At 43.5% G+C, this 26,924-nt stretch overlaps 1 protein-coding gene across 3 annotated transcripts in view; it reads left to right on the top strand.

The window, feature by feature from the left end:
* The window catches only part of SOCS7 (suppressor of cytokine signaling 7), a 53,750-nt gene that overhangs the window by 20,689 nt on the left and 6,137 nt on the right, over positions 1-26,924 (top strand). For all 3 annotated transcript variants that reach the window (NM_014598.4, XM_017024551.2, XM_017024552.2), the window contains 3 exons: positions 5,182-5,310; positions 22,777-22,912; positions 23,316-23,466. In NM_014598.4, the coding sequence (NP_055413.2) occupies positions 5,182-5,310; positions 22,777-22,912; positions 23,316-23,436 (386 nt within the window). In that variant the 3' untranslated portion in view covers positions 23,437-23,466. The remainder of the gene's footprint in view (positions 1-5,181; positions 5,311-22,776; positions 22,913-23,315; positions 23,467-26,924) is intronic.

Here is a 26,924-nt window from a genome sequence, read left to right on the forward strand (position 1 = left end):
CATGTGAGTGTTTATCTCTCCAGCTAATTGTGTATCACAGTAAAAATTGATCTCTCATGGTTCTTGTATAGTTTTCATTGTGTTTAGTGCAATACAGTAAACCTTGAGTAATACTATGGGACCCACTAGTGCCACTAGTGTTGCTGGAAGTTCCCCTAAGAGGCAGAGAAAAGTTAGAACATTACAAGAAAAATTGCTCAGTTTGTACATAGTTTGAGGTCCACAGCTGTGGTTGTTCACCATTTCAAGATAAGTGAATTCAGCATAAGGACTGTTGTAATAAAAGAAAAAAGGCTGGATGCGGTGGCTCACACCTGTAATCCCGGCACTTTGGGAGGCCGAGGCGGGCGGATCACATGAGGTCGGGAGTTCGAGACCAGCCTGACCAACATGGAGAAACCCCATCTCTACTAAAAATACAAAATTAGCCGTGTGTGGTGGCGCATGCCTATAATCCCAGCTACTCAGGAGGCTGAGGCAGGAGAATCGATTGAACCTGGGAGGCAGAGGTTGTGGTGAGCCAAGATCGTGCCATTGCACTCCAGCCTGGGCAACAAGAGCAGAACTCTGTCTCAAAAAAAAAAAAGAAAAGAAAAGAAAAGCATACCTATAGATAAATATGATTTAATAAAAGTAAAGTCATTATATGACAACTTAAAGCAAGAGGAAAGTGAAAAAACTAGAGCTGGAGAAGTTAATGCCGGCAATGGATGGTTTGATAATTTTAGGACAGTTTGACTTGAAAAATGTCAAGATAACAGAAGACGTAGCTTCTGCTGACCAAGAGGCAGCAGACAGGTTCCCAGACACCATGGGGAAAATCACTGAGGAGAAAGGATATCTGCCTGAACAGGTTTTTAATGAAGATGAAAGTGCCCTATTCTGGGGAAAAGAAAATGCCACAAAGGATATTTATTAGTAAGGAAAAGAAGTAAGAACCAGAATTTAAGGCAGGAAGGGGTAGGCTGACTCTCTGGTTTTGTGCAAATGCAATTGGGTTAATAATCAGGACTACCTTTATCTATGAAGCTACAGTCTTTTGGTTGTACAGCAAGAAGGCATGCACAATGAGAACCTTTTTTTCTGGATTGGTTTCATCAGTGCTTTGTCTCTGGAGTAAGGAAGTACCTTGCCAGTAAGGGATTGCCTTTAAAGCTCTTTTGATATTGGTCAATGCCCCTGGCCACCCAGAACCCCATCAGTTCAACACTGAAGGTGTCAAAGTGGTCTGCTTGCCCCCAGACGCGACGTCGCTAATTCAGCCTTTAGATCAGGTGGGTCATAAGGACCTTTAACACTCATTGCACTTGGTACTCTATGCAAAGGATTTTAAGTGCTGTGGAAGAAGACACCGATAGAACATCATGAATGTCTGGAAAGATTCCTCCATTGAAGTTGCCATAGTTGACCGGGTGGAGTGGCTCACGCCTGTAATCCCAGCACTTTGAGAGGCCAAGGTGGGTGGATCACCTGAGGTCAGGAGTTTGAGGCCAGCCTGGCCAACATGGCGAAACCCTGTCTCTACTAAAAATACAAAAATTAGCCAGGCTGGTGGCACGCGCCTGTGATCCCAGCTACTTGGGAGGCTGAGGGAGGAGAATCGCTCCAACTTGGGAGGTGGAGGTTACAGTGAGCCAAGATTGCTTCGCTGCACTCCAGCCTGGGCGACCGAGTGAGACTCTGTCTCAAAAAAAATGCCATAGTTGTTATAGAAGAAATTGTGGGCCAGGTGCAGTGGCTCATGCCTGTAATCCCAGCACTTTGGGAGGCCAAGGCGGGCAGATCACTTGAACCTGGAAGTTAGAGACCAGCCTGGGCAACGTGGTGAAACCACATTTCCACAAAAGATACAAAAATTAGCTGGGCACTGTCATGCGTACCTGTAGTCCCAGGTACTCGGGAGGGTCAAGGCTGCAGTGAACCGTGATCATGCCACTGCACTCCAGCCTGGGCAACAGAGTGAGACCCTGTCTCAAAAGAAAAAGTTGTGAAAGCCATCAAGCCCAAAACAATAAATTACTGCTGAAGAAAACTGTGTCCAGAAATTGTATGTGACTTCATAGGATCTGTGACAGAGCCAATCAAGGAAATCATGAAAGAGATATGGCAAAAAAAGAAGGTGAAGGGTGAAGGATTTCAAGATAGGGATCTTAGAGAAATTCAAGAACTCATAGATACCACATCAGAGGAATTAACTGAAGGTGACTTGATGGAGATGAGTTCTTCTGAGTCAGTGCCAGATGACGAGGAAGAAGACGTAGAAGAAACAGTGCCAGAAAACATTAATGTCAGGCAATCTGGCAGAAGGGTCGAGGTTATTTGAGACTGCTTTTGAGTTATTTTAGACTTGGACCCTTCTATGATATGGGCACTAAAACCAAAGCAAATGGTAGAAGAAGAATTGGTACCATATAGAAACATTTTTAGAGAAATGAAAAAGCAAACCTGAGTGTGGAGGCTCAAGCCTGTAATCCCAGCACTTGGGAGGCCAAGGCAGGAGGATCACTTGAGGCCAGGAGTTCAAGACCAGCCTGGGCTGGTAGCTTCAGCTATTCAGGAGGCTAGGGCAGGAGGATCACTTAAACCCAGTAGTTCAAGGATGCAGTGAGCTGTGATCATGCCACTGCACTCTAGCCTGGGTGATAGAGTGAGACCCTGTTTCTAAAAATAGAAAAAGCAAAAAAAGTCAGACAAATTATAACATTTCCATAAATTTATACCACATGTGCCTTCCTCTCCTACTTCCCCTTCCACCTTCTCTACCTCTTCTACCTCTGCCACCCCTGAGACACCCCCCTCTTCCTCTTCCTCTTCCTCCTCAGTCTATTTGGTTTGAAAACAATGAGGATGAAAACCTTTATGAAGATCCACTTTATGATCACTTTATGATGATCCACTTCCATTTAATGAATAGTAAATATATTTTCTCTTATTTTCTTAATAGTGTTTTCTTAATAGTATTCCTTTTTCTAGCTTAATTGTAAGAATACAGTATATAATACATATCACATACAAAATATATGTTAACCGACTGTTTATATTATTGGTAAGGCTTTCAGTCAACAGTACGTTGTTAGTAAAGTTTTGGGGGAGTCAAATGGATTTTTATATGTGGATTTTTTATTTTGGTGGGGTTGAGGAGGATGTTGGGCCATTGGGATAGGGTTCATGCTCCCCCCCACATTATTCAAGGGTCAGTTTATGTATGTAAATTGGTCATTCCTCACTTAAAGGTCATTAATAGGTTCTTGGAAACTGACTTTAAGCAAAATGACGTATAACAAAACCAATTTTTTTTTTTTTTGAGACAAAGTTTCGCTCTTATTGCCCAGGCTGGAGTGCAATGGTGTGATCTCGGCTTACCGCAACCTCTACCTCCTGGGTTCAAGCAATTCTCCTGCCTCAGCCTCCCGAGTAGCTGGGATTACAGGCATGTACCACCATGCTTGGCTAATTTTGTATTTTTAATAGAGACGGGATTTCTCCATGTTGGTCAGGCTGGAGTAAAGACCAAACTTCTAAATAAAGACCAAAACACTTCTAAATAAAGACCAGTATTAAACAGTGAAATATATGTAAACTATACACACATGTAAGAAAGATTAATGAAAATAAGTTAGGTAATCATTTACCCAAGTATTCCAGCTCAGGATCACAAATGGCCGGAGCCTATCCTGGCAGTTCAGGATGCAAGGCAGAACAACCCTGGACAGAACACCATTCCATCGGGGTGCATATACCCACACACCCACACTCAGACTGGCACAGCTTAGCATGCCATTTCACCTTACACGCACATCTCTGGGATATGGGAGGAAACCAGCATACCCAGAGAAAACCTGTGCAGATGTGCAAACTCCACACAGACAGTGGTCCTGGCCGGAAATCAATTTTTTTTTCTTATCAACGTTACAAGGAAACAAGCATGGTGGCTCACGTTTGTAATCCCAGCACTTAGGGAGGCCGAGGCGAGTGGATCACTTGAGGTCAGGAGTTCGAGGCTAGCCTGACCAACGTGGTGAAACCCTGTCTCTACTAAAAATACAAAAATTAGCCAGGCGTGGTGGCAGGTGCCTGTAATCCCAGCTACTCAGGAGTCTGAGGCGGGAGAATCACTTGAACCCAGCAAGTGGAGGTTGCAGTGAGCCAAGATCACGCCACTACACTCCAGCCTGGGTGCCAGAGCAAGACCCTGTCGCAAAAAAAAAAAAAAGTTATAAGGTAACAACACTGAACAAAATGTTATTCAAAGACCTGCTTATATGTGTACACAGTCATACACTGTTTAGCAACATTTTGGTCAATGATAGACTACATATATGACAGTCGTCCCATAAGATTATATTACTGTATTTTTACTGTAGTTTTTCTATGTTTAAATGTGTTTAGGTACATGAATACTTACCATTCTTTAGAGTTGCCTCCAGTATTCAGCACAGTAACATGCTATACAGGTCTGTAGCCTAGCAGCAATAGGCTGTACCACATAGCCTAGGTATGTAGTAGGCTACACCATCTAGGTTTGGATAAGTACACTCTGATGTTCGCCTAATGATGCATTTCTCTGAACATATTTCTGTCATTAAGTAATGCATGACTGTACCTATACTTAATATACATAATAAGTACATCTATATAGAGAGAGGAAGCCTGTGATTTAAAGATTAATGTTCATACTCAGTGAACAATTTTATATCATTTTTTCTGATTTGAAATTATTAAAGGTTGAGTATCCCTAATCTGAAATCCAAAATGCTTAAAAATCTGAAACTTTTTGCACACTGACATGATGCTCAAAGGAAATGCTCATTGGAGCACTTTGGATTTCAGAGTTTTGGATTAGTAATGTTCAACTGGTAAGTATAATGCAAATATTCCAAAAATATGAAAAAATCCAAAATCTGAAACACTTCTGGTCTCAAGCATTTCGGATAAGGAGTACTTAGCTTGTATTTACTTAACAAAAACCTTGTAAGACCTAATTTATGTCTTACAAAAGGCAACATCTTTTTACAGTTAACTGTGAGATAAGCAGGAACAGGTAGCTTCAGAGACCTTTGAGCCAGCTTGCCCCCAAACTGCCCTCCCAAAAGTGAGAATCATAGTTAAAATATTCAAACCAGCCTCTCATGTCTTCTGAAGTAAGTTTTAAAATTTTTACTTCTTAATTTTCCATGGCAGGAACCTTCAGCCTGTGGTGTCATCCCAAGTTTGAGGACCGCTGTCAATCTGTTGTAGAGTTTATTAAGAGAGCCATTATGCACTCCAAGAATGGAAAGTTTCTCTATTTCTTAAGATCCAGGGTTCCAGGTAAGGCTGTACTTCTGTTAATTATTTAACTTAAGTTGGGTATGATCCAGTTTAGTGTCAAAAAACACCATCCCCACAAAAGGCCATGGTTAAGCTTTTTTTCCCTGGCTGTTGGAGCCACCACTCCTCTTACAGAGTCCCATGGTTAATCCCCTGCCTTTGTACATTAATCTCTCAGCATACTGAGGAGGAATCTTTGCTTCTCTAACCACGTGAATGAGAAAACTGCTTCCACCTCTGATGTCCAGGCATCATGTGAACATTTGACATTTGGAGGTATCCCTGATCTAGGCATCTCAACATTTATAAGTGAAGCAGAAAGATGAGAGCTCTCAGGTCCTACCCATAGGAACGGGGAAGGTAGGAGAATGTTTACCAGAAAGGCAGGGGCGAGCGTCAGTGGGGCTCAGTATGGCTAGGCGTGGTGGCTCATGCCTGTAATCCCAGCACTTTGAGAGGCCGAGGTGGGAGGATTGCTTGATCCCAGGAATTTGAGACCCCATCTCTTAAAAAAATAAAAAATTAGCCAGGCATAGTGGCACATGCCTATAGTTCCAGCTAGTTGGGAGGCTGAGGTGGGAGGATCACTTGAGCCCAGGAGGTCGAGGCTTCAGTGAGCTGTGATCATGCCACTGCACTCTAGTCTGGGTGATAGAGCAAAACCCTGTCTCCCCCAAAAAAGAAAAAGTAAGGGCCAAATCCAGTTGCACATTGCACTCTGTTAGGAAGTATCTGCTGTGGGTTTGCCCATGTTGTACTAAACTTGCTGCCGAATAGTAAATACTTTGTTTTGTATCTTGCCATCCCTACCATTGATGAATACAAGACCTCTCTCCATTTGGGAGCACTGGGCAGTTGCTATCCTTGCTGATGTGATTGTATAGTCTTCCTGCCCACTAAGTTAGGGAGGTGTCTGTATAATCTGTGGAGGGCAAGAGGGGATTGTTTGGAGCAATCTGCCTTTATAGTGTTGGGTAAGACAAAATGACACGGACATTAATATGAGGAACTTGTAAGATGCAAACAACTTAAGCCAGGCATGGTGGCTCACACTGTAATAATCCCAGTACTTTGGGAGGCTGAGACAGGCAGATTGCTCAAGTCCAGGAGTTCAAGACCAGGCTGGGCAACATGGTGAAACCATGTCTCTACAAAATACACAAAAATTAGCCGGGTGTGATGCCAGGCGTCTGTAGTCCCAGCTACTTGGGAGGCTGAGGTGGGAGGATCACTTGAGCCTGGGAGGCAGAGGCTGCAATGAGCCAAGATTACGTCACTGCACTCCAGCCTGGGTGACACAGCGAGACCCTGTCTCAAAAAAAAAAAACAAAAAAAAACAAAAAAAAAAAAACAAGGCAGGGGTTGGTGGCTCACACCTGTAATTCCAGCACTTTGGGAGGCTGAGGCGGGCAGATCACCTGAGGTCAGGAGTTCGAGACAGCCTAGCCAACATAGTGAAACCCTGTCTGTACTAAGAATACAAAAATTAGCCAGGTGTGGTGGCAGGTGCCTTGTAATCCCAGCTACTCAGGAGGCTGAGGCGGGAGAATTGCTTGAACCTAGGAAGCGGAGGTTGCAGTGAGCTGAGATTGCGCCATTGCACTCCAGTCTGGGCGACAGAGCCAGACTCTTTCAAAAAAACAAAAACAACAAAAAAGAAACAACTTAAAATGAGAACTTCATGCTTTCCCATTGAATCAAATTAAGATTCTTGAACAGAACACCTAGAAATTGCTCTAAACTGTAGGAGCTCAGGGGAGCCTCAGGCAGAAGACTAGGAACAGGTTGAGCCAGGTGACAGGAATGTTTCTTGTAATCTTGGGGATTTGAATAAGGCATGACAGGGTGTGAACTGTATTAATTCTCACTTCATTTAGTTTTGCCTCAGTGCTGTCAACACAGTTGGGTCTTGTGCAGTTGACTTGCTTAAAGGGAAAAGTTAGATTCCTTCCTTATAGGAGTTGACTCTGCTTAGCAGTTTTTAAAGTTTATGGCTTTTTGGGGGGTTTTTATTTAACAAACATTTATTTTGTAACTTAATTATCAAAAATAAGCTACCTTTCTGCCTTCAGAGAAGTCATAGTCTAAAAGAAGGGACAGGAAGGAAGACAAAGGTCAGAGCACATGTTCAAGTCAGTATAAAGCATGTGGTGGTAACCAGCAAGAGTAGGGTAGTCAGCTCTGCCTGTGGACAAGCCCGGGAAATCTCAAAGAAGATTCTGGACTCTGGAACATCACTCTATTTGTAGAATATTGAGAAAACTTCGTGGAATATTGGACTCCTCAGATACAGCTTATTTCATTGTACAAATGTACCCTGTCTGCAGATATTTTAACCAAGATTCTTAGCATTGTATTAAGGGCTAGAGTGTGTAGTGTTTGCAACTATTAATATTGAGTGCCTGTTAGATGCCAGGTACTTGGCCAGGCTCTTTATTTAAATATATTGACATTTTTACAACAACCTCAAAGTTAGGTAATATAGATCAATCTATTAAAATAATATGGCTGGGCTCGGTGGCTCACGCCTGTAATCCCATCACTTTGGGAGTCCGAGGTGGGTGGATCACCTGAGGTCAGGAGTTTGAGACCAGCCTGACCAACGTGGTGAAACCTCGCCTCTACTAAAAATACAAAATTAGCCAGGTGTGGTGGTGCACGCCTGTAATCCTAGCTACTCTGGAGGCTGAGGCAGGAGAATCGCTTAAAACCCAGGAGGCTGAGGTTGCAGTGAGCTGAGATTGTGCCACTACACTCTAGCCTGGGCCCCCAAGCAAGACTCTGTCTCAAAAAAAAAAAAATAATAATAATAATGATAATGATGTGTCCAACATGGTGAAACCACACCTCTACTAAAAATACAAAAATTAGCCAGGCATGGTGGCGGGCACCTGTAGTCCCAGCTACCTGGGAGGCTGAGGCAGGAGAATCACTTGAACCTGGGAGGTGGAGGTTGCAGTCAGCCAAGATTAAGCCACTGCACTTCAGTCTGGGTGACAGAGGGAGACTCTGTCTCCAAAAAATAAAAATAAAATAAATTTAAAAATAAAATAATACATGAGACTTCATTTTGCCAGTGAGGAAACTGAGGCTGAAGCTCAAAAGTTAAGTTACTTACTCTAAAGGTAACTCGGTTGATCAGTGCTGAAGCCAGAATTCAAACCTGGGCTTGACTACAAATCCTTGACTTTATTTCCCACCGGTCTGTTATTGGAAGAGGTAGTAGTAATCAGATTGAAAGTTTGCTGGCATTTGTGGAAACTACCTAAAGAAGGTAGAACCATGTTTACTGGGGGCAGGAGGGTGCACATGCTCCAGTTGAATATCTGTGTATACTTAAAATTGTAATCAAGTTGAGAGGGCAAAGCAGAGCTATTGCCCCTCGACCCTAAGTGACCTCTCTTTGAAGGATAGGGCCAAAGAAGACAAAGCCTTTACCACTGTTTGCTGCCCTCTTTTGCTTATAAAGGGGAAGGCATTATATAAGCTTGATTTTATTAGAGGAGACTATTAGGGTGAGGAAGAGGTAGGTATTAGCATTTAGGTTGAGCTCTGTCAGTCTGCGTCAGGGATTTTAACTTGATCGATTCAGAAAGGAGGCTGTGTGTTCAGACTTTGGAATGATGACAACTGAACACCTACAAGGAGCCAGGTGTTATTCCATTTAACCAAGTGTTACCCTTTGAGGGGATAGTACCGTCTCCTTTTTATTTTTTTTCTTTTTGAAAAAGCAAAAGAAACTGAGGTCCAGTGAGTTGCAGAACCAGGATGAGATCTCAGGTTTTTCTGGCTCAGATCCCAGAGCTGGATGCAGTAGGAGGGTGTTAAGACTGGTATCAGGCTTGGCGCAGTGGCTCACGCCTGTAATCCCAGCACTTTGGGAGGCCAAGGTGGGCGGATTGCCTGAGCTCAGGAGTTCAAGACCACCCTGGGCAATATGGTGAAACCCCATCTCTACTAAAATACAAAAAATTAGTTGGGCATGGTGGTGCACATCTGTAGTCCTAGCTATTTAGGAGGCTGAGGCATGAGAATTGCTTGAGCCCCAGAATTGGAGATTGCAGTGAGCCAAGTCATACCACTGCACTCCAAAGACTCTGTCTCAAAAAAAAAAAAAAAAAAAAAAAAAAAACCTAAAAAAACTAAACCCCTAACACCAGACAGCAGTGAGAGTGTGACTGATGTCACACAAAACCTCTGATCCTATTAGAGCCAGGCTAAAAGCAAACATACCCTTTTTAATTGAGAGAATCTTCATCTGTAAAGTTCGTGAAGAAAAAAATATCTTTAAAAAATCATGCTTTGATCAGGCTTGGTGGCTCACATCTGTAATCCCAGCACTTTGGGAGGTAGAGGTGGAAGGATTGTTTGAGCCCAAGAGTTCTAACTAGCCTGGATAATGTAGAGAGACCTCATCTCTACAAAAACAAAACAAAACAAAAAAGCCTAGCCACATGTGATGGTGTGTGCCTTTGGTCCCAGCTGCTTGGGAGGCTGAGGTAGGAGGATCTCTTAGGCCGGGTAGGTCAAGGCTGCAGTGAGCTGTGATTGCACCACCACACTCCAGCCTGAGTAATAGAGCGAGACCCTATCTCAAAAAAAAAAAAAAAAAAAAAAAATCATGCTTTGAATTGGACAGCTCATTTTTGTTTGTTTGTTTCAAGATGGAGTCTACCCCAGTCACCCAGGCTGGAGTGCAATGGCACGATCTCGGCTCACTGCAACCTCCTCCGCCTCCCGAGTTCAAACGATTCTCCTTCCTCAGCCTCCCGAGTAGCTGGGATTACAGGCGCCCGCCACCACGCCCAGCTAATTTTTGTATTTTTAGTAGAGACGGGGTTTCACCATGTTGGCCAGGCTGCCCTTAAACTCTTGACCTCATGGTCCACCTGCCTCAACCTCCCAAAGTGCTGAGATTACAGGCGTGAGCCACCACGCTTGGCGGAATTGGACAGCTCTTTAAGGAAATTGGTTACTTCCTCTTTTGTAACCCTTGTTAAGTTTATAATTACTTGTTCAGTGACATGTCTTCCCTGTTTACCAGGGTTTCTCAGCTCTGCATTATTGACATTTTAGGCTGGACAGTTTTTTGTTGTGGGGTCTGTCCCGTGTATTGGAGGAAGCCCTAGCTTTTGCCCACTAGATGCCAGGAGCACTCACCCCCACCCCAAGCTGTGACAATCACATTATGTCTCCATATGTCCCTGGGGGCCAAAATCATCCCCAGTTGGGAAACATTGTTATATACCATAGGGGTTAAAAAGTACAAGTTCTGGATCCAGAGCACCGAGTGCTACCCCAGGTCCTGCCAGTTACTAGCTCTGTGATCTTAGGCATGAACTGAACCTCTCTTGCCTCAGTTTCCTCAACAGTAAAATGGGGATGATTATAGTACCTCACTTATAGGGTTGTTTTGAGGAATGCAAGAGTTAACTCATGTAAAATATTTAAGACAATGCCTGACACAGAGTAAGCACTCAACAGATGTTACTTTTCTCAGTGCTCTCTAAGATGTAGGTGCATAGGAAGTGTTTAAGGTGGTATCTCTGGTGTTCTCCTGGCCCTATAAAGGTGGTACCCAAGATAATATGTGTTGAATGATACTCTGGGTGGCCCCTCAGATATCCTTGTGATATCCTTTGAGATGCCCTTTGTCGTTATTTTATCTTACCTGTCTGATTGCCAGGTCATCCAGAGCAAGAACTGTCTTTCCTTAGCTCTATATTATTTTGAGATGAAGTCTCACTTTGTTATGCCCAGGCTGGAGTGCAGTGGCGCAATCTCGGCTCATCGCAACCTCTGCCTCCTGGGTTCAAGCAATTCTCCTGAGTAGCTGGGATTATAGGCGCCCACCATCACGCCCGGCTAAATTTTTGTATTTTTTAGAGACGGGGTTTCACCATATTGGTCAGGCTGGTCTCGAACTCCTGACCTTAGGTGATCCACCCGCCTCGGCCTCCCAAAGTGCTGGGATTACAGGGGTGAGCCACCGCGCCCAGCCTGCTCTATATTATTTTGTATATTAGAACACTCAAACATTTGCTGATGAGATATTAGACATACTCAGAAGAGGTTATTTCACTTACGCTTGTGAAAGAAGCCAGGAGTCCTTTCCTGGGGATTTGTGACCAGTGTCTCTGAGCATCTCCCCAGTAAGCGGTTCGTCCTTGTTTTATAGGTACAGAGTCATGCCACTGATGGGGCTCCCCTCCTTGCTCTGGCTGCATGACCCCCTTTAGCAACACCGTAAGACTCCCTTGAGGATATTTGCAAACTAGACTTATTCCTGGCTTATTACCTGCTTTATGTTTATTTGTATGGTGTGCAGAATGGTGTAATAAACCCTGTGTATCCATCACCCAGCCCCAGCAACCATCAGCCCATGGCCACTCCTGCCCTGTTTGTATACCTGTCCACTTCTTCATTGCATATTAGTGTTTAGTGTTTAAATATACTTTTGTTTTGTTTTGTTTTGTTTTGAGACAGGGTCTCACTCTGTCACTCAGGCTGGAGTACAGTAGTGCAATCATGCCTTGACCTCCCAGGCTCAAGTGATCCTCCCACCTCAGCCTCCCAAGTAGCTAGGACTACAGGCATGGGCCACCATGCTCGGCTAATTTTTCAATTTTTTTGTTGAGACAAGGTGTTTCTATGTTGCACAGGCTGGTCATGAACTCCTGGGCTCAAGTGATCTTCCCTTCTTAGCCTCCCAAAGTGTTGAGATTACAGGTGTGAACCACCATGCCCAGCTTCTTTTTTTTTTCTTTGAGATGGAGTCTCCCTCTGTCACCCAGGCTGGAGTGCAGTGGTGCGATCTCGGCTCACTGCCACCATCCACATCCCGGGTTCAAGTGATTCTCCTGCCTCAGCCTCCTGAGTAGCTGGGATTACAGGCACACACCACCACACCTGGCTAATTTTTTAATTTTTAGTAGAGGCAGGGTTTTACCATGTTGGTCAGGCTTGTCTTGAACTCCTGACTTTGTGATCCACCCGCCTCAGCCTCCCAAAGTGCTGGGATTACAGGCGTGAGCCACTGCACCCAGCTCTTTTTTTTTTTTTTTTTTTTTTTTGACGGAGTTTTGCTCTTATTGTCCAGGCTAGAGTGCAGTGGCGCAATCTCAGCTCACTGCAACCTCCGCCTTCCGGTTTTGAGCAATTCTCCTGCCTCAGCCTCCCAAGTTGCTGGGATTACAGGCATCCGCCACCACGCCCAGCTAATTTTTTGTATTTTTAGTAGAGACGGGGTTTCATCATGTTGGTCAGGTTGGTCTTGAACTGCTGACCTCGTGATCCACCCGCCTCAGCCTCCCAAAGTACTGGGATTACAGGTGTGAGCCACCGTGCCCAGCAGCACTTCTTTTTTAATTTGTAGTTTTCTTCCTCCATTTCTTTTTCCCTTTTTTTCTTGCAATTTATATATTTAAAATATTGTTATGTTTGGAGTTTACCTATTGCTTCTCCATGACGTTGTTTAATATGTTCCTCTGTACTCTGAATTTCCTGTAAAATGGTAATTGAATTCAAAGGCTTACCCAATTTGGATTCGTTGGGGAGGGGGAGCAGCGTGACAGCATTACTTCATCTGAATTTCTTTTCTTTCTTTTTTTTTTTTTTTAAATAGAAAACCACAAAAATCATATGCATGGTTTAATATTATTATAAGGTGAACACCACTCAGGCAAAGGAACCAAAACTTTTCCAGCCACTCCAGAAATCCTTCCGTGTGCCCCATACTAATCTCTACACCTGTCTTTATAATAATCACTTCCTTTCATTTTTCCATGAATGCTTTTATCACCCCAGTGTATATCCCTGAACACTATAGTTTGATATTGCTCATTTGAAAAAAATTTCATGTCTTTTAAATATCTTAATCTGTGGCTTTTTCTTTCATTTCCTTACGATTTACTTATTGAATAATTGGGCTGTTTGACCTGGAAAATTTCCTTGGATTTTACTAATTACGTACTCTTGTTGGAGTTTAGCATGTTGTCCTGTCTTCTGTATTTCTTACAAATTAGCAGGAGTCTGATTCAAACTCAGGCTTGACTGAACATATAATAGTAGCTCATGCCTAAAATCCCAGCACTTTGGGAGGTGAGGCAGGAGGATCGCTTATACCCAGGAGTTCAAGACCTGCCTGGGCAGCATGGTAAGACCCTGTCTCTACCAAAAAAATAAATTAAAAACTAGCCGAGGCCAGGCGCGGTGGCTCAGGCCTGTAATCCCAGCACTTTGGGAGGCCGAGGCAGGTGGCTCACCTGAGGTCAAGAGTTTGAGACCAGCCTGACCAACATGGGGAAACCCTGTCTCACTAAAAATATAAAAATTAGCCAGGCATGGTGGCCCAGACCTGTAATCCCAGCTACTTGGGAGGCTGAGGCAGGAGAATGGCCTGAACCCAGGAGGCGGAGGTTGCAATGAGCCAAGATTGTGCCACTGCACTTCAGCCTGGGCAAAAGAGGGAGGCTGTGTCTCAAAAAAAAAAAAAAAAAAAAAAAAATTAGCCAGGTGGCCGAGGCAGGGTAATCGCTTGAGTCTGTGATGTCAAGGCCACAGTGAGCTGTGTTCATGCCACTGCACTCCAGCCTGGGTGACAGAGTGAGACTGTATCTCAGAAACAAACAAAAAAACTGAGGCTTGATCCTTTTAGCAAGATTATATAGGTAGTATTTGGCATGCCCATAGGAAACACATGATGTCTGGTTGTGTCTCTTTTTGTGATCTTAGCAGCTGTTCATTGGGAGTTGCAAAATGATGATACTCTAATTTTATCACTTTTTATTTATTAGATGGAATAGTTTTATAGAGACATTTCTCCTCATTTATTATTTACCAAATTCATATAGAAAAAGCAGGATAAATGCTTGACTCTTTTTCTTTATTTACTAATTTTCAAGATAACGAATTGGTTCCCTATCATCCTTTGAAGGTGACCATTTGAAAAATATAATTAATGGCCGGGCACAGTGGCTCATGCCTGTAATCCCAGCACTTTGGGAGGCTGAGGTGGGCGGATCATGAGGTCAGGAGATTGAGACCATCCTGGCTAACACGGTGAAACCCCGTCTCTACTAAAAAATAGAAAAAATTAGCTGGGCGTGGTGGTGGGCACCTATAGTCCCAGCTACTCGGGCAGCTGAGGCAGGAGAATGGTGTGAATCGGGAGGCAGAGCTTGCAGTGAGCTATCGCGCCACTGCATTTCAGCCTGGGCGACAGAGCGAGACTCTTATCTTAAAAAAAAAAAAAAAAAAAAATATATATATATATATATATATATATGTATGTATATATATATATATATATGATTAATTCAGCCAGGTGCAGTGACTCACGCCTGTAATCCCAGCATTTTGGGAGGCCGAGGCAGTTGGATCACCTGAGGTCAGGAGTTAAACACCAGCCTGGCCAACATAGCTAAACCCCATCCTCTACTAAAAATACAAAAAAAATAGCCGGGCGTGGTGGTGGGCACCTGTAATCCCAGCTACTTGGGAGGCTGGGGCAGGAGAATCACTTGAACCTGGGAAGTGGAGATTACAGTGAGCCGAGATCACCCCACTGCACTCCAGCCTGGGTGACAGAGAGACTCTGTCTCAAAAAAATATATACATATATACACAATATATAGTATATATATACACAATACATAATATATATACACAATATATTGTATATATTATATACACAATATATAGTATATATATACACAATACATAATATATATACACAATATATTGTATATATTATATACACAATATATTGTATATTATATATACAATATATTGTATATTATATACACTATATATTGTATATATTATACTATATATTTTATATATTTATATATTTATATTATACATATTATATATATACTATATATTATATACATATAAAATTCATGGAATTAAACATACTTAATGGCTTTCTTTTTTTTTTTTTTTGAGACAGAGTCTCACTCTGTCACCCAGGCTAGAGTGCAGTGGCGTGATCTTGGCTCACTGCAACCTCCGACTCCCGGGTTCAAGCGATTCTCCTGCCCCAGCCTCCCATGTAGCTGGGATTACAGGCACGTGCCACTACACCTGGCTAATTTTTTTGTATTTTTAGTAGAGACGGGATTTCGCCATGTTGGCCAGGCTGGTCTCGAACTCCTGACCTCAGGTGATCCAACTGCATTGGCCTCCCAAAGTGCTAGGATTATAGGCATAGGTGTGAACCACCGTGCCTGGCCCACTTAATGGCTTTTAATTCATTACAGTTATAATTATTGAAGCTCGTATTGTCTCACCTTTAACCAGCAGAAGGCTCTTCATGTCGGGGTATTTTTCCCTCTCTCCCTCCCTTCCTTCCTTGCTTTTATCTAACAGCTTTATTGAGATATAATTCACATAACATGAAATTCACCCATTTAAAATGTGTGATTCAAGGCCAAAGAAGGTAGATTACTTGAGCCTAGGGGTTCAAGTCCAGCCTGGACAACATGGCATGAAACCCCATCTTGATAAAAAAAAAAAATACAAAAATTAGCTAGGAGCGGTGGTGAGCACGTGTAGTCCCAGCTACTCAGGAGGCTGAGGCAGGAGAATTGCTTGAACCCAGGAGGCAGAGGTTGCAGTAAGCTGAGATCACACCACTGTACTTCATCCTGGGTGAAGACAGAACAAGACTGTGTCTCAAGAAAAAAAAATACTGTGCAATTCAGTGGTTTTTAGTATATTCACAGAGTTGTACAACAATCACCACAATCAATTTTAGAATGTTTTCATCACACCAAAATGAAAACCTCAGACTATTAGCAGTTACTCCGTATTCCCTCTACTTCCTGGCCCCTACCAACCACTAATCTGTTTTCCGTTTCTATGGATTTGACTGTTTGGTACATTTCACATAAATGGAATCATACAATATTTTTATGTCTTGTTTCTTTTACTTAGCATAATGTTTTCAAAGTTCACCAGTGTTGTAGCATCTGTCAGCACAGCATTCTTTTTTATGACTGAATAACATTCCACTCTGGATGTACCACATTTTGTTTCTCCATTCTTTAGGTTGTTTCCAGTTTTTGGCTATTATGAAATAAATAATGCTTCTTTGAACATTCATGTACAGCTGTTTATGTGAATATCTTTTCAATTCTCTTGGATATATTCCTAGGCGTGAAATTGCTGGGTCATATGGTAATCCCATATTTAACCCCATGCCAGACTCCCAAAACAATTGCACCCAAGATTTTGTTATTGTCCATCTTTTTGAATATAGCCATCCTAGTGAGTATGAAGTGGTAGCTCATTGTGGTTTTGATTTGCATTTCCCTAATGACTAATGATGTTAACATCTTTTCATCTGCTTATTGGCTATTGTATCTCTATTCACAACCTTTGCTCATTTTATAATTGAGCTATTTGTCTTCTTATTGAGTTATGAGTTCTTTACAGGCTGGGTATGGTGCCTATAAGCCCAGTACTTAGGGAGGCCAGGGCAGGAGGATTGCTTGAGCCCAGGAGCTCAAGACCTGCCTGGGCAATACAGGGAGACACTGTCTCTACAAAAAATTTAAAAATTAGCCCAGTGTGGTGGTGCATGTCTGTAGTCCTAGCTACTTGGAAGACTGAGATGGGAGGATTGCTTGAGTCCAGGAGGTGGAGGTTGCAGTGAACCGAGATCACGCCACTGCACTCCAGCTTTTATTTTATCTCAAAAAATAAAGTTCTTTATATATTCTGGATACAAGTCCCTTGTCAGATATAAATTACAAATATTTTCTCCCATTCTGTGGGTTGTCTTTTTACTTTCTTGATGGTATTCTTTGAAGCATGAAGGATTTTGATGAGTTCCTATTCCAACTTTTTTTTTTTTTTTTGCTTGTTATATTTAGAAAAGTTTGCCTAACCAAAGGTGATGGAGCTTAATGCCTATATTTTCTTCTAGGAGACTTAAACTTTTAGCTTTTACATTAGGTCTACTATCCGTTTTGAGTTAATTTTTGTTTTTTAATTTTTTTGTTTGGTGTGTATGTGTGTACATATATATATATATGTACATATATATATATACACATATAGAGAGAGAGAGAGAGAGAGAGTGAGAGAGAGAGAGACAGAGTCTCTCTCTGTCACCGAGGCTGGAGTGCAGTGGCACGATCGTGGCTCACTGCAACCTCCGCCTCCTGGCCTTAAGTGATCCTCCCACCTCAGCCTCTCAAAGTTCTGGGATTACAGGTGTGAGCCACCGTACCCAGCCTTGAATTTTTGTGTATGGCATGAGAAAGGAGTCCAACTTTATTCTTTTTCATGTGAATATTCAGTTGTTCTAGCGCCATTTGTTGAAAAGATACTCTTTCCCCATTGAATTGTCTTGGCATCTTTGTTGAAATCAGTTGATTGTAACTGTGAAGGTTAATTTCCGGACTCAGTTCTATTCCATTGAGTTGTATGTCCATCCTTATGCCATTACTGTCTTGATTCCTATAGTTTTGTAGTACTTTTTGAGATGGAAAAGTGTGAGTCTCCAACTTTGTTGTTTTTCAAGTTGGTTTTGACTATTTTGGGTCTCTTGCATTTCCATATGAATTTTAGGATCAGATTGTCAATTTCTGCAAAGAAGCCTACTGAGATTTTAATACCCCCATGTTGGCAAGAGTGTGGAGTTGAGTCAGTACATCAATTTGGGGAGGGAATATTGGCATGTCAACAATATTATGTCTTCTGATCCATGGACATAGGCTGTCTTTCTGCTTATTTAGGTCTTTTTAAAAACTCTTTGAACAATGTTTTATATTTTTTCTTTTGTTCGTTTTCCTTCCTTCCTTCCTTCCTTCCTTCCTTCCTTCCTTCCTTCCTTCCTTCCTTCTCTTTCTTTCTGTCTTTTTTTTTTTTTTTGTCCCACTGTCACCCAGTCTGGAGTGCAGTGGTGCCTGGCTCACTAACTACAACCTCCACCTCCCTGGCCCAGTGTGTCCTGCACTTCAGCCTCCTGTGTAGCTGGGACTATAGGCACACACAACCATGCCCAGCTGATCTTTATATTTTTAGTAGAGATGGGGTCTCACCGCATTGCCCAGGCTGGTTTCTAACCCTTTGGCTCAAGCCATCCACCTTGCCTCAGCCTCCCAAAGTGCTGGGATTATAGGTATGAGCCACTGTGCCTGGCCCATATTTTTTCATAATATAAGTTTTGTATTTCTTTTGTTAAATTTATTTTTTAGTATTTGTTTTTGATCCTATTGTAAATTGTTTTCTTAATTTTAATTATTTTTGGATTGTTTATAGCTAGAGTATAGAAATTTAATTGCTTTTTGCACATTCATGTTATATCCTGTAAACTTGCATAACTCATTTATTAGTTCTATTATGTATTTCTTTTTAAATTGTGAAATAACATGTATGTGGTAAAAAGGTCAAATAGTGCGCAAGGGAATATAAGGAAAAGTGAATCTTCTGCCCTCTCACCCCTGCTCCCACTAAGCTAAACTATTGTTTAGTTTTTCTTAAGCTGTTTCAAGCTGAAGAAAGGAGTGGGATATTAAAAAACAGTGCTTCACTGTTAGCTGAATATCTTTTTTTTAGACAGGGTCTTACCCTATCACTCAGGCTGGAGTGCAGTGGTACAATCATAGCTCACTGCAGCCTCAGCCTTCTGGGCTTAAGCAGTCCTCCCACTTAAGCCTCCTGAGTAGCTGGGACCACTGTTGTGCACCACAATGCCTGGCTAATTTTTTTAATTTTAATTTTTGTAGAGGTAAGGTCTCCCTCCCTATGTTGCCCAGGCCAATCTTGAACTCCTGGGCTCAAGCAGTCCTCCCACCTCAGCCTCCCAAGGTGCTGGGATTACAGGCGTGAGCCACCGCACTGGGCCTTCTTTTACTTTTGACCTTGTGCTTGTTTTTTTCTTCTTGGAGGATTACATATAAGTCAACTAGACTCCCTAGTTTATTCTCTTTTTACTTACACTGTTAAGAAAATGAGATCTGGAATGTGAAACAGATGTGATTCCTTATCTGATTCTGTCTTCAGGGGTCAGAAAAACCTTTGGTGTGGCAGAAAGACATGGGTATTTGGGTGTTTATACCTGGAAGAGATTTCTTACCCCTAACATGGTCTTTGTTGGGAGAAACGAAAAATAGTGCATGGCTAGAAACTAGGTTTGTGCCCAGGACCTCTGGCATGAGGACTGGAAGAAAGTTACTGACGATTAATGTTCGACTTCACCCTTACTCTTTTAGTCCCAGTTGGGTCTTATCCTGGATTCTTCACATTTTTAACTGCTTCTGTTAGCATGCTCTAAATGTGAGAGTTCTAATTGTTTGTTGGCGTTTGTGGGCAAACAGTAAATGGTCAGATTAATACCAGGGAATATCAGAAAATTAACAGGTTTCAAATTGCTATTTGTAAACCTAAAGGCTAAAAGTAATACAATTAAATAGGCAAGTATATGTGGTCATTAAAATTCAAGTAGGCAAACAATCAGATAATTGTATGTTGCATATTATCCTGATCTCTTTAAGCACAGTGTTATCTTTGGGAATAAATTATTAGATGTATAAATTACTTTTATCTCTGAAACATCATGTTGAGTTTACCAGTATTACAGCCAATCCCCCAAAGCTTTCTGTTTGCCACAGTTTAATTTACTAAAGAATATATAAATACCAGTGAGGGACAGGACAAATTCAAAGAGGCATTTGAACCCAAAATTATTTCTTAAAACCACTTGAGTTAAATATATTCAGGTGAGAAATTCACGTGTGAGTTCTTTTTCTTTTCTTTTAATGGAGAGGACCAGCCATGTGGGTAGAGGAGAGAAGTAGGGCTTCAAAATACAAGACTTAGTTTTGAAGGGGTGGGAGTGCCAGGGAGGGGACTAGGAGAGGCTGGTCATGAACCAGAGTGCTGTGACTGTCCTGGACAACCTCCCTGTTAGATGGGCAGAGGTGCAGGCACTCTAGAGACCCTCCTGGAGAACCCTGCTGAGAGGTTCCTCGGCTATGGCAGAGCTACCGATAATTCTTCCTTAGGGCAGGTGTTCAAGGCAGGCCGGCTTTAGTGGCTCCATGCCACAGCAAGTTCTCTAAGCTCAGTGGGCCTCAGTTTCTTTATATGTGAAATGGGGATGGTGGTGTTTGCCTCAAAGTATAGTTTTAAAGACTAAATAAGTTATCATTATTATTTTTGTTTTTTTTTTAGAGACAGGGTCATACTTTGTCACCTAGGCTGGAGTGCAGCGGCACAATCTTGGCTCACTGTAGCCTCGAGTTCCTGGCCTCAAGTGATCTTATCTCCTTGGTCTCCCAAAGTACTAGGATTATAGGCGTGTGCCACTGCACCCAGCCTGAGTTAAATGTTTTTAAGATGAGCTTAACTTGTTCAGTAACAATAAAATAATGTATTTTGATTTTTTTTTTCCCCTGGAAAGTATGTTGTCAGTGATCATGGAAAGGCCTTGGGATGCGGTGTACATGCTTTCATTTGTTTTGTTTTCATGCCTTCAAATAAAATTTTAAAACTATCTGGGCCGGGCATGGTGGCTCATGCCTATAATCCCAGCACTTTGGGAGGCTGAGGCAGGTGGATCACCTGAGGTCAGGAGTTCGAAACTAGACTAGCCAACATGGTGAAACCCCGTCTCTACTAAAAATACAAATATTAGCTGGGTGTGGTGGCGGGCGCCTGTAATCCCAGCTACTCGAGAGGCTAAGGCAGGAGAATCGCTTGAACCTAGGAGTTGGAGCTTGCAGTGAGTCAAAATCGCGCCACTGCACTCCAGCCTGGGTGACAAGAGCAAGACTCTGTCTTAAAAAAACAAACAAACACTTTGGGAGGCTGAGGTGGGCGGATCACAAGGTCAGGAGATCAAGACCATCCTGGTTAACACAGTGAAACCCCGTCCCTACTGAAAATACAAAAAATTAGCCCGGCGTGGTGGTGGGTGCCTGTAATCCCAGCTACTCGGGAGGCTGAGGCAGGAGAATGGCATGAACCCGGGAGGCAGAGCTTGTAGTGAGCCGAGATCGCGCCACTGCACCCCAGCCTGGGCGACAGAGCAAGACTCCGCCTCAAAAAACAAACAAACAAACAAAAAAACTATTTGAACTTAAACCCCAATAATAGTAGATATTTTATTTTCCAATCAGTTGTGTCTATAGAATGTCTTTTGATATGACAATGGCTGAGAATTCTTTGACAGGTTTTGCAACTCAGATTTTCTCAAAGAATCTTGTTTACCTTCCATAGCCCCTTTGTTTATTGAAAGCAAAATATTCTTAGTTCCCTTGAATCCCAGTGTTCCTGCCATTCTGGATGTCTCCATGCTGTGGCGTGGGGCCCTTTTTGGGGTGGGATTCCCCAGCACAGAGCCTGCTAATACATAAGGGTGTGGTACTCCCATTGAGTCTATTTGGCATCAATCAGCAGGCGGGTTTGCACTGAGCGGTACTAATCCTAGCTTGCCCAAGCGATTGTAGTTGTTCTTTTAAAAGCATCATCTTTTTTTGGTCTCCTGGCCTAAAATTTCAGAAGCAGGAACTGGGGGTTATGGGGGTTGGGTATAAAAGGTAGCTAAACCTGATTATCCTGGCTTGAAATAATGGCAGGAATAATAGGCTTGTTAACTTTGATCCTAGCTGTTACCTTCTACTTACCAGCCTCCCTGCTGAACCAGCCTCTCTGCTGAACCAGCCTCTGCTGAACCAATTGGAATTTGGTGGGGACTCCTCTGAACGGCTTTTCTGGGTCCTCACCTTCAGGATACTGCTAGATGTGCCCAACAAGTATCTCCCATTCCCAGCAGGGATACTTTTGATTCTTGGCCTTCCCGAGAGCCTCAGGCCTGGGATTGGCCACTTGGGTCCAAGCAGTGTCTCTAGTTTGGCATAATTGGGCTACTCCGAGGAGCAGGACTCTCAGCTGTTATGAGTGATGCTAGGAGCCAGGCACAGTGGCTCACGCCTGTAATCCTAGCACTTTGGGAGGCTGAGGCGAGTGGATTGCTTGAGCCCAGGAGTTCGAGACTAGCCTGGGCAACATGGGGAAACCCCGTCTCTACTAAAAATACAAAAATTATCTGGGTACGATGGCATGCATCTGTGGTCCCAGCTACTCAGGAGGCTGAGGCGGGAGGATTGCTTGAGTCTGGGAGGTCAAGGCTGCAGTGAGCTGAGACTGGGCCACTGCACTCCAGCCTGGGTGACAGAACGAGACCCTGTCTCAAAAAACAAAACAAAAGACACACAAAAAAGTGATGCTAGGGAGGCCTTTGGCAGAGAATGGATTTCCTTAATTGTGAATGTGGTGGTGGTGCTTCTGGAAATGGAAATCAACAGCACTTTGTGGAGGGGCTTTTGCACAGAATACATATATGAACCATAAAGAAGTCCCATTTCCCCTCCCTAGGTTCTCTTCATACAAGAAATGGTAGTTAGCTCCATTGTTTCCTCTGAATACTTTCCTTTGTTTTCTTTCTTGAAGGACTGCCACCAACTCCTGTCCAGCTGCTCTATCCAGTGTCCCGATTCAGCAATGTCAAATCCCTCCAGCACCTTTGCAGATTCCGGATACGACAGCTCGTCAGGATAGATCACATCCCAGATCTCCCACTGCCTAAGTACAATGGGGTTGTCAGGTTTGGGACAGGAATGAGTAAGGGGGTTGTGGGGAGGTAACAATGTCAGTGAGGCCTGCAAGCTACCTTCACAGGCAGAGTCTGGCATAAAATATTTGCAGATGTCATTCTTACACATTTCCTGTGTCTTAGCACCTAACTCTAGAACTGTCATATTGCAGCCAGAGGGAGGAAGGTGTGTGTGTCAGCCTTCCTTCTGCAGTCTCTAGGAAGAATAGAGTAGAAGTGGTAAGAGTAAGGAAGACAGAACTATAATAACTGAGAAAATGGGGATTGTGTTAGGTCTCAACCATGTAGGGAGTGAAGAAGAGTTGAACAAAGGAGTTACTTCTTTTATATTTTGTATAAAAACCTTTTGTGTATATCCGTCATTTGTTTTTCACAGACCTCTGATCTCTTATATCCGAAAGTTCTACTACTATGATCCTCAGGAAGAGGTATACCTGTCTCTAAAGGAAGCGCAGCTCATTTCCAAACAGAAGCAAGAGGTGGAACCCTCCACGTAGCGAGGGGCTCCCTGCTGGTCACCACCAAGGGTATGAGCTCTCTGCCTCACTGCCCAGCCACATTTCTTCCTGGGCAGTCATCATCATGCATTGAGCCTTGGGCCCCCTCCCCACAACTCCCAACATGGATAGCCCCGATCCAGGCATTTGCCCATAGAATGACAAGATCTGACCGTGGAGTCCTCAAGGGGCACACACCCCATTTGGGAGAAAAGCAGACAGACGAGAAAGACAAGAAAGTAGATTGCCAGGAAACGTGCAAGCTAATCACTGAATGTGAGCAAGGAGGGGGACACCCAAGTGTAGCTAAGAGTGCGGCCTCTGGCAAGGAGAGGGTAATTGAAAAAAATAAGAAGAAGAGTGCAGCCTCCTCTCATACAGACTTGGGCTGATCTCCCTGATACTGCACAAATGGCATATAAAGCAGGAAGCTAAAGGGAAAGGAAACTTCATCAAAGAGAATGCAAACATGCCTTTAATTGCAACAGGCATGCACTTCAGTGAGACTCCACCATGTCCCACAGCTTGGAATATGGGGATGAGGAAAAACAGCCCACTCTTCTATTTAGCGTTCCATTTGGGCCATTACAAAGTAAATTGTTGAAACTAAGGAATTCATTTATCTACGAGGCTCTTCTCCCATCATTACACAGTTCTACCCATTTATTTTCCCATAAAACATCTTGCAATACTGGTTTGTGCAGATGAATTCCAATTAGTCTTTTAAATTGCACTAAAGTGAACATTGTGGGGCCAAGTTCCTGAGTAGGGAACACAATTGCCAGGGAGCCATGACTTTGGTGGTGGTGGTGACAAGCAAGATTGACTGCCAGTGTGCAGTGACTGCTTTCTTCTGGTGTGGATCCTGGAGTAGATGTACAGTCTCATCATGTCTTCAATTATATGCAAATTGTATGCCTTTGGAAATGACTAAATATCTAATGTCTTGTGTCTAGGTGGATTTCTCTGCATGATGGCTTTGCAGTTGAGATTAGGGTGAGAGGTAGAGCACTAGGGAGGTCCACCTACCTGACTACCCTTGAAGAGTAATTAGGCCATTCAGTTAGAGGACCACGTCTGTGGGTGCAGTGCTGTAGAAGAACCCATATAAACAGGGAGCATGTTCAGAGAAAGGCCTTGTGGCATTGGAGAGCTCAAACTTCATCATATGGGAATAAATGGCCTAGAAAGAAATGTGATTAACCCAGAGCACGGAGGTTTTAGGGAGGGATAGCTGAAAGATGCATTTGATGGGTTTTCCTAAGGAAGAGAGTGATTAACCTCCTCTCTGTGGTTCCAGTGGGGAGCAAGTTCAGCATTACGCTTATTCTTTGCCACAGGCAACAATCCTGATGTCACAGCAAAAAGAGATCCTGAGAGTTCAGTTCAAACCTTTGCCAGTGCATGACTGCTCCCAACACTCAAGACAAGTGGCTCCCTGCCGGCCTGTTCCTGATCATGCCACACCTTTCCCAGTTGAGGCAGGGCCTTTATACCTCTAGGTCCCCTTGCCCAGAATGCTCTGCCCCAAGGCCCTCCCATGTCACAGCAAAAAGAGACATGGATAAGGACCAAAATGAATGTAAGTTACAAGGAACTAGATTTCAGTCCAACTTTACAAGAACCTTTTTAACAGAGAGGTCCAAAACTGGGATGGTTTTCCTCAAGAGCTTCCATTCAGCAGATAGCTGTATATTTGTGTTTATTTGGCACCCAGTATGAATTGAGAATAGAGTGCTGAGCAAAGCAAAGGCCCTGTTTTCACTCAGCTTCCCTTCTCCTAAGGAAAGACAGGCAGCAAACATGAACATAAATGAATGGGCTAATTTCAGGTGACTGTACAGTGTTGTGAGGAAAGTAAAACTGGGTAAAGTTTAGTGATTAGTGGTGGGATACTCCTCAAGTTTAGATGGTCAGGGAGAGACTTGTGAGGAGGTGCCATTTCAGCCGATACCCAAATATCAAGGAGCCAGCCATGGGAGTGCCTTGGAGCAGAGCATTCTGGGCAAGGGGACCTAGAGGTATAAAGGCCCTGCCTCAGCTGGGAAGGACGTGGCATGATCAGGAACAGGCCAGTGGGTAGCCATTTGTCTTGAGTGTTGGGGGCAGTCATATATTGGCGAAGGTTTGAACTGAACTCCCAGGATCCCTTTTTGCTGTGACATCAGTATTGATGCCTGTGACAAAGAGTAAGCGTAATGCTGAACTTGCTCCTGGTGTAGACCCTAGGAGCCCTGGAAAGGGAGGAAGTAACACTTCCCAAGGGAAAGGTCTTTTTTTTTTTTTTTTTTGAGATGGAGTTTCGCTCTTGTTGCCCGGGCTGGAGTGCAATGGCGTGATCTTGGCTCACTGCAACCTCCATCTCCCGGGTTCAAGCAATTCTCCCACCTCAGCCTCCCAGTGGGAGGCTGGGATTACAGGTGTGCACCACCACGCCTGGCTAATTTTGTATTTTTAGTAGACTGGGTTTCACCACGTTTGTCAGTTGGGTCTCAAACTCCTGACCTCACTCAAGTGATCCACCCACCTTGGCCTCCCAAAGTTCTGGGATTACAGGCATGAGCCACTGTGCCCCATTGGGAAAGGTCTTTAGGGTATGAAATTTGGCCTTTATGACTTCTTGTTGTTCAGGCTGATTTTAATTTGGGAGTTCTGAATGGCCTGCTTGGTCTATGTGTGCTGTTACCTGGGGAATTTCATGCCAGGGGGTTTGGAGTCAGACTATAGAGTAATGGCTAGAACAGTGCCTGTCTCAAGTCGGAAGGTGGAAGCAACAGTGGCCTTTGTGTTTCTGTGTCAACCCTGTCCAGTTGACAGAAGCTGCAGAAATACAGAGCTCTCTGGCCAGGTGTGATGGTTCACGTCTGTAATCCCAGCAGTTTGGGAGGCCAAGGCGGGCTCATCACGAGGTCAGGAGTTTGAGACCAGCCTGGCCAACATGGTGAAACCCTGTCTCTACTAAAAATACAAAATTAGCCAGGCATGGTGGCGCATGCCTGTAATCCCAGCTACTTGGGAGGCTGAGACAGGAGAATCTTGAACCCAGGAAGTGGAGATTGCAGTGAGCCAAGATCATGCCTTTGCACTCCAGCCTGGGTGACAGAGCGAGACTCCGTCTCAAAAAAAAAAAAAAAAAAGAAAGAAAGAAATATAGAGCTCTTTCTTGCCAGGTTCAAAAGGGGTTACTCCAGGGGCTTACTTCCCTTTTCAGTCCCTAGAGCAATTGAGCCTCAGGGAAAAAATGGGTAGGAAATGAAGGGGTAAGGGAAAGGGAAAGAGAGAATTTATGCAATGTGGTAGGATGTATTTATTAGTTATTTCAGGACCTTGTTTTGTCATCCAAGTCATAGGCTGCTCAGGTCCCCCTGACAAAGGCCACTGCTGCATCCCTAGTCACATGTGGCCCTCATGGAAGCGTTCAGCTCTCCAGGCTCCGTTCTCCTTTTGAGGTGTGCTGCTCCACCTCCAGTGGCTGGCTGTTATTTCAC

Source organism: Homo sapiens, chromosome 17 (genome assembly GCF_000001405.40).
Source record: "Homo sapiens chromosome 17, GRCh38.p14 Primary Assembly".
Classification (NCBI taxonomy): Eukaryota; Metazoa; Chordata; class Mammalia; order Primates; family Hominidae; genus Homo; species Homo sapiens.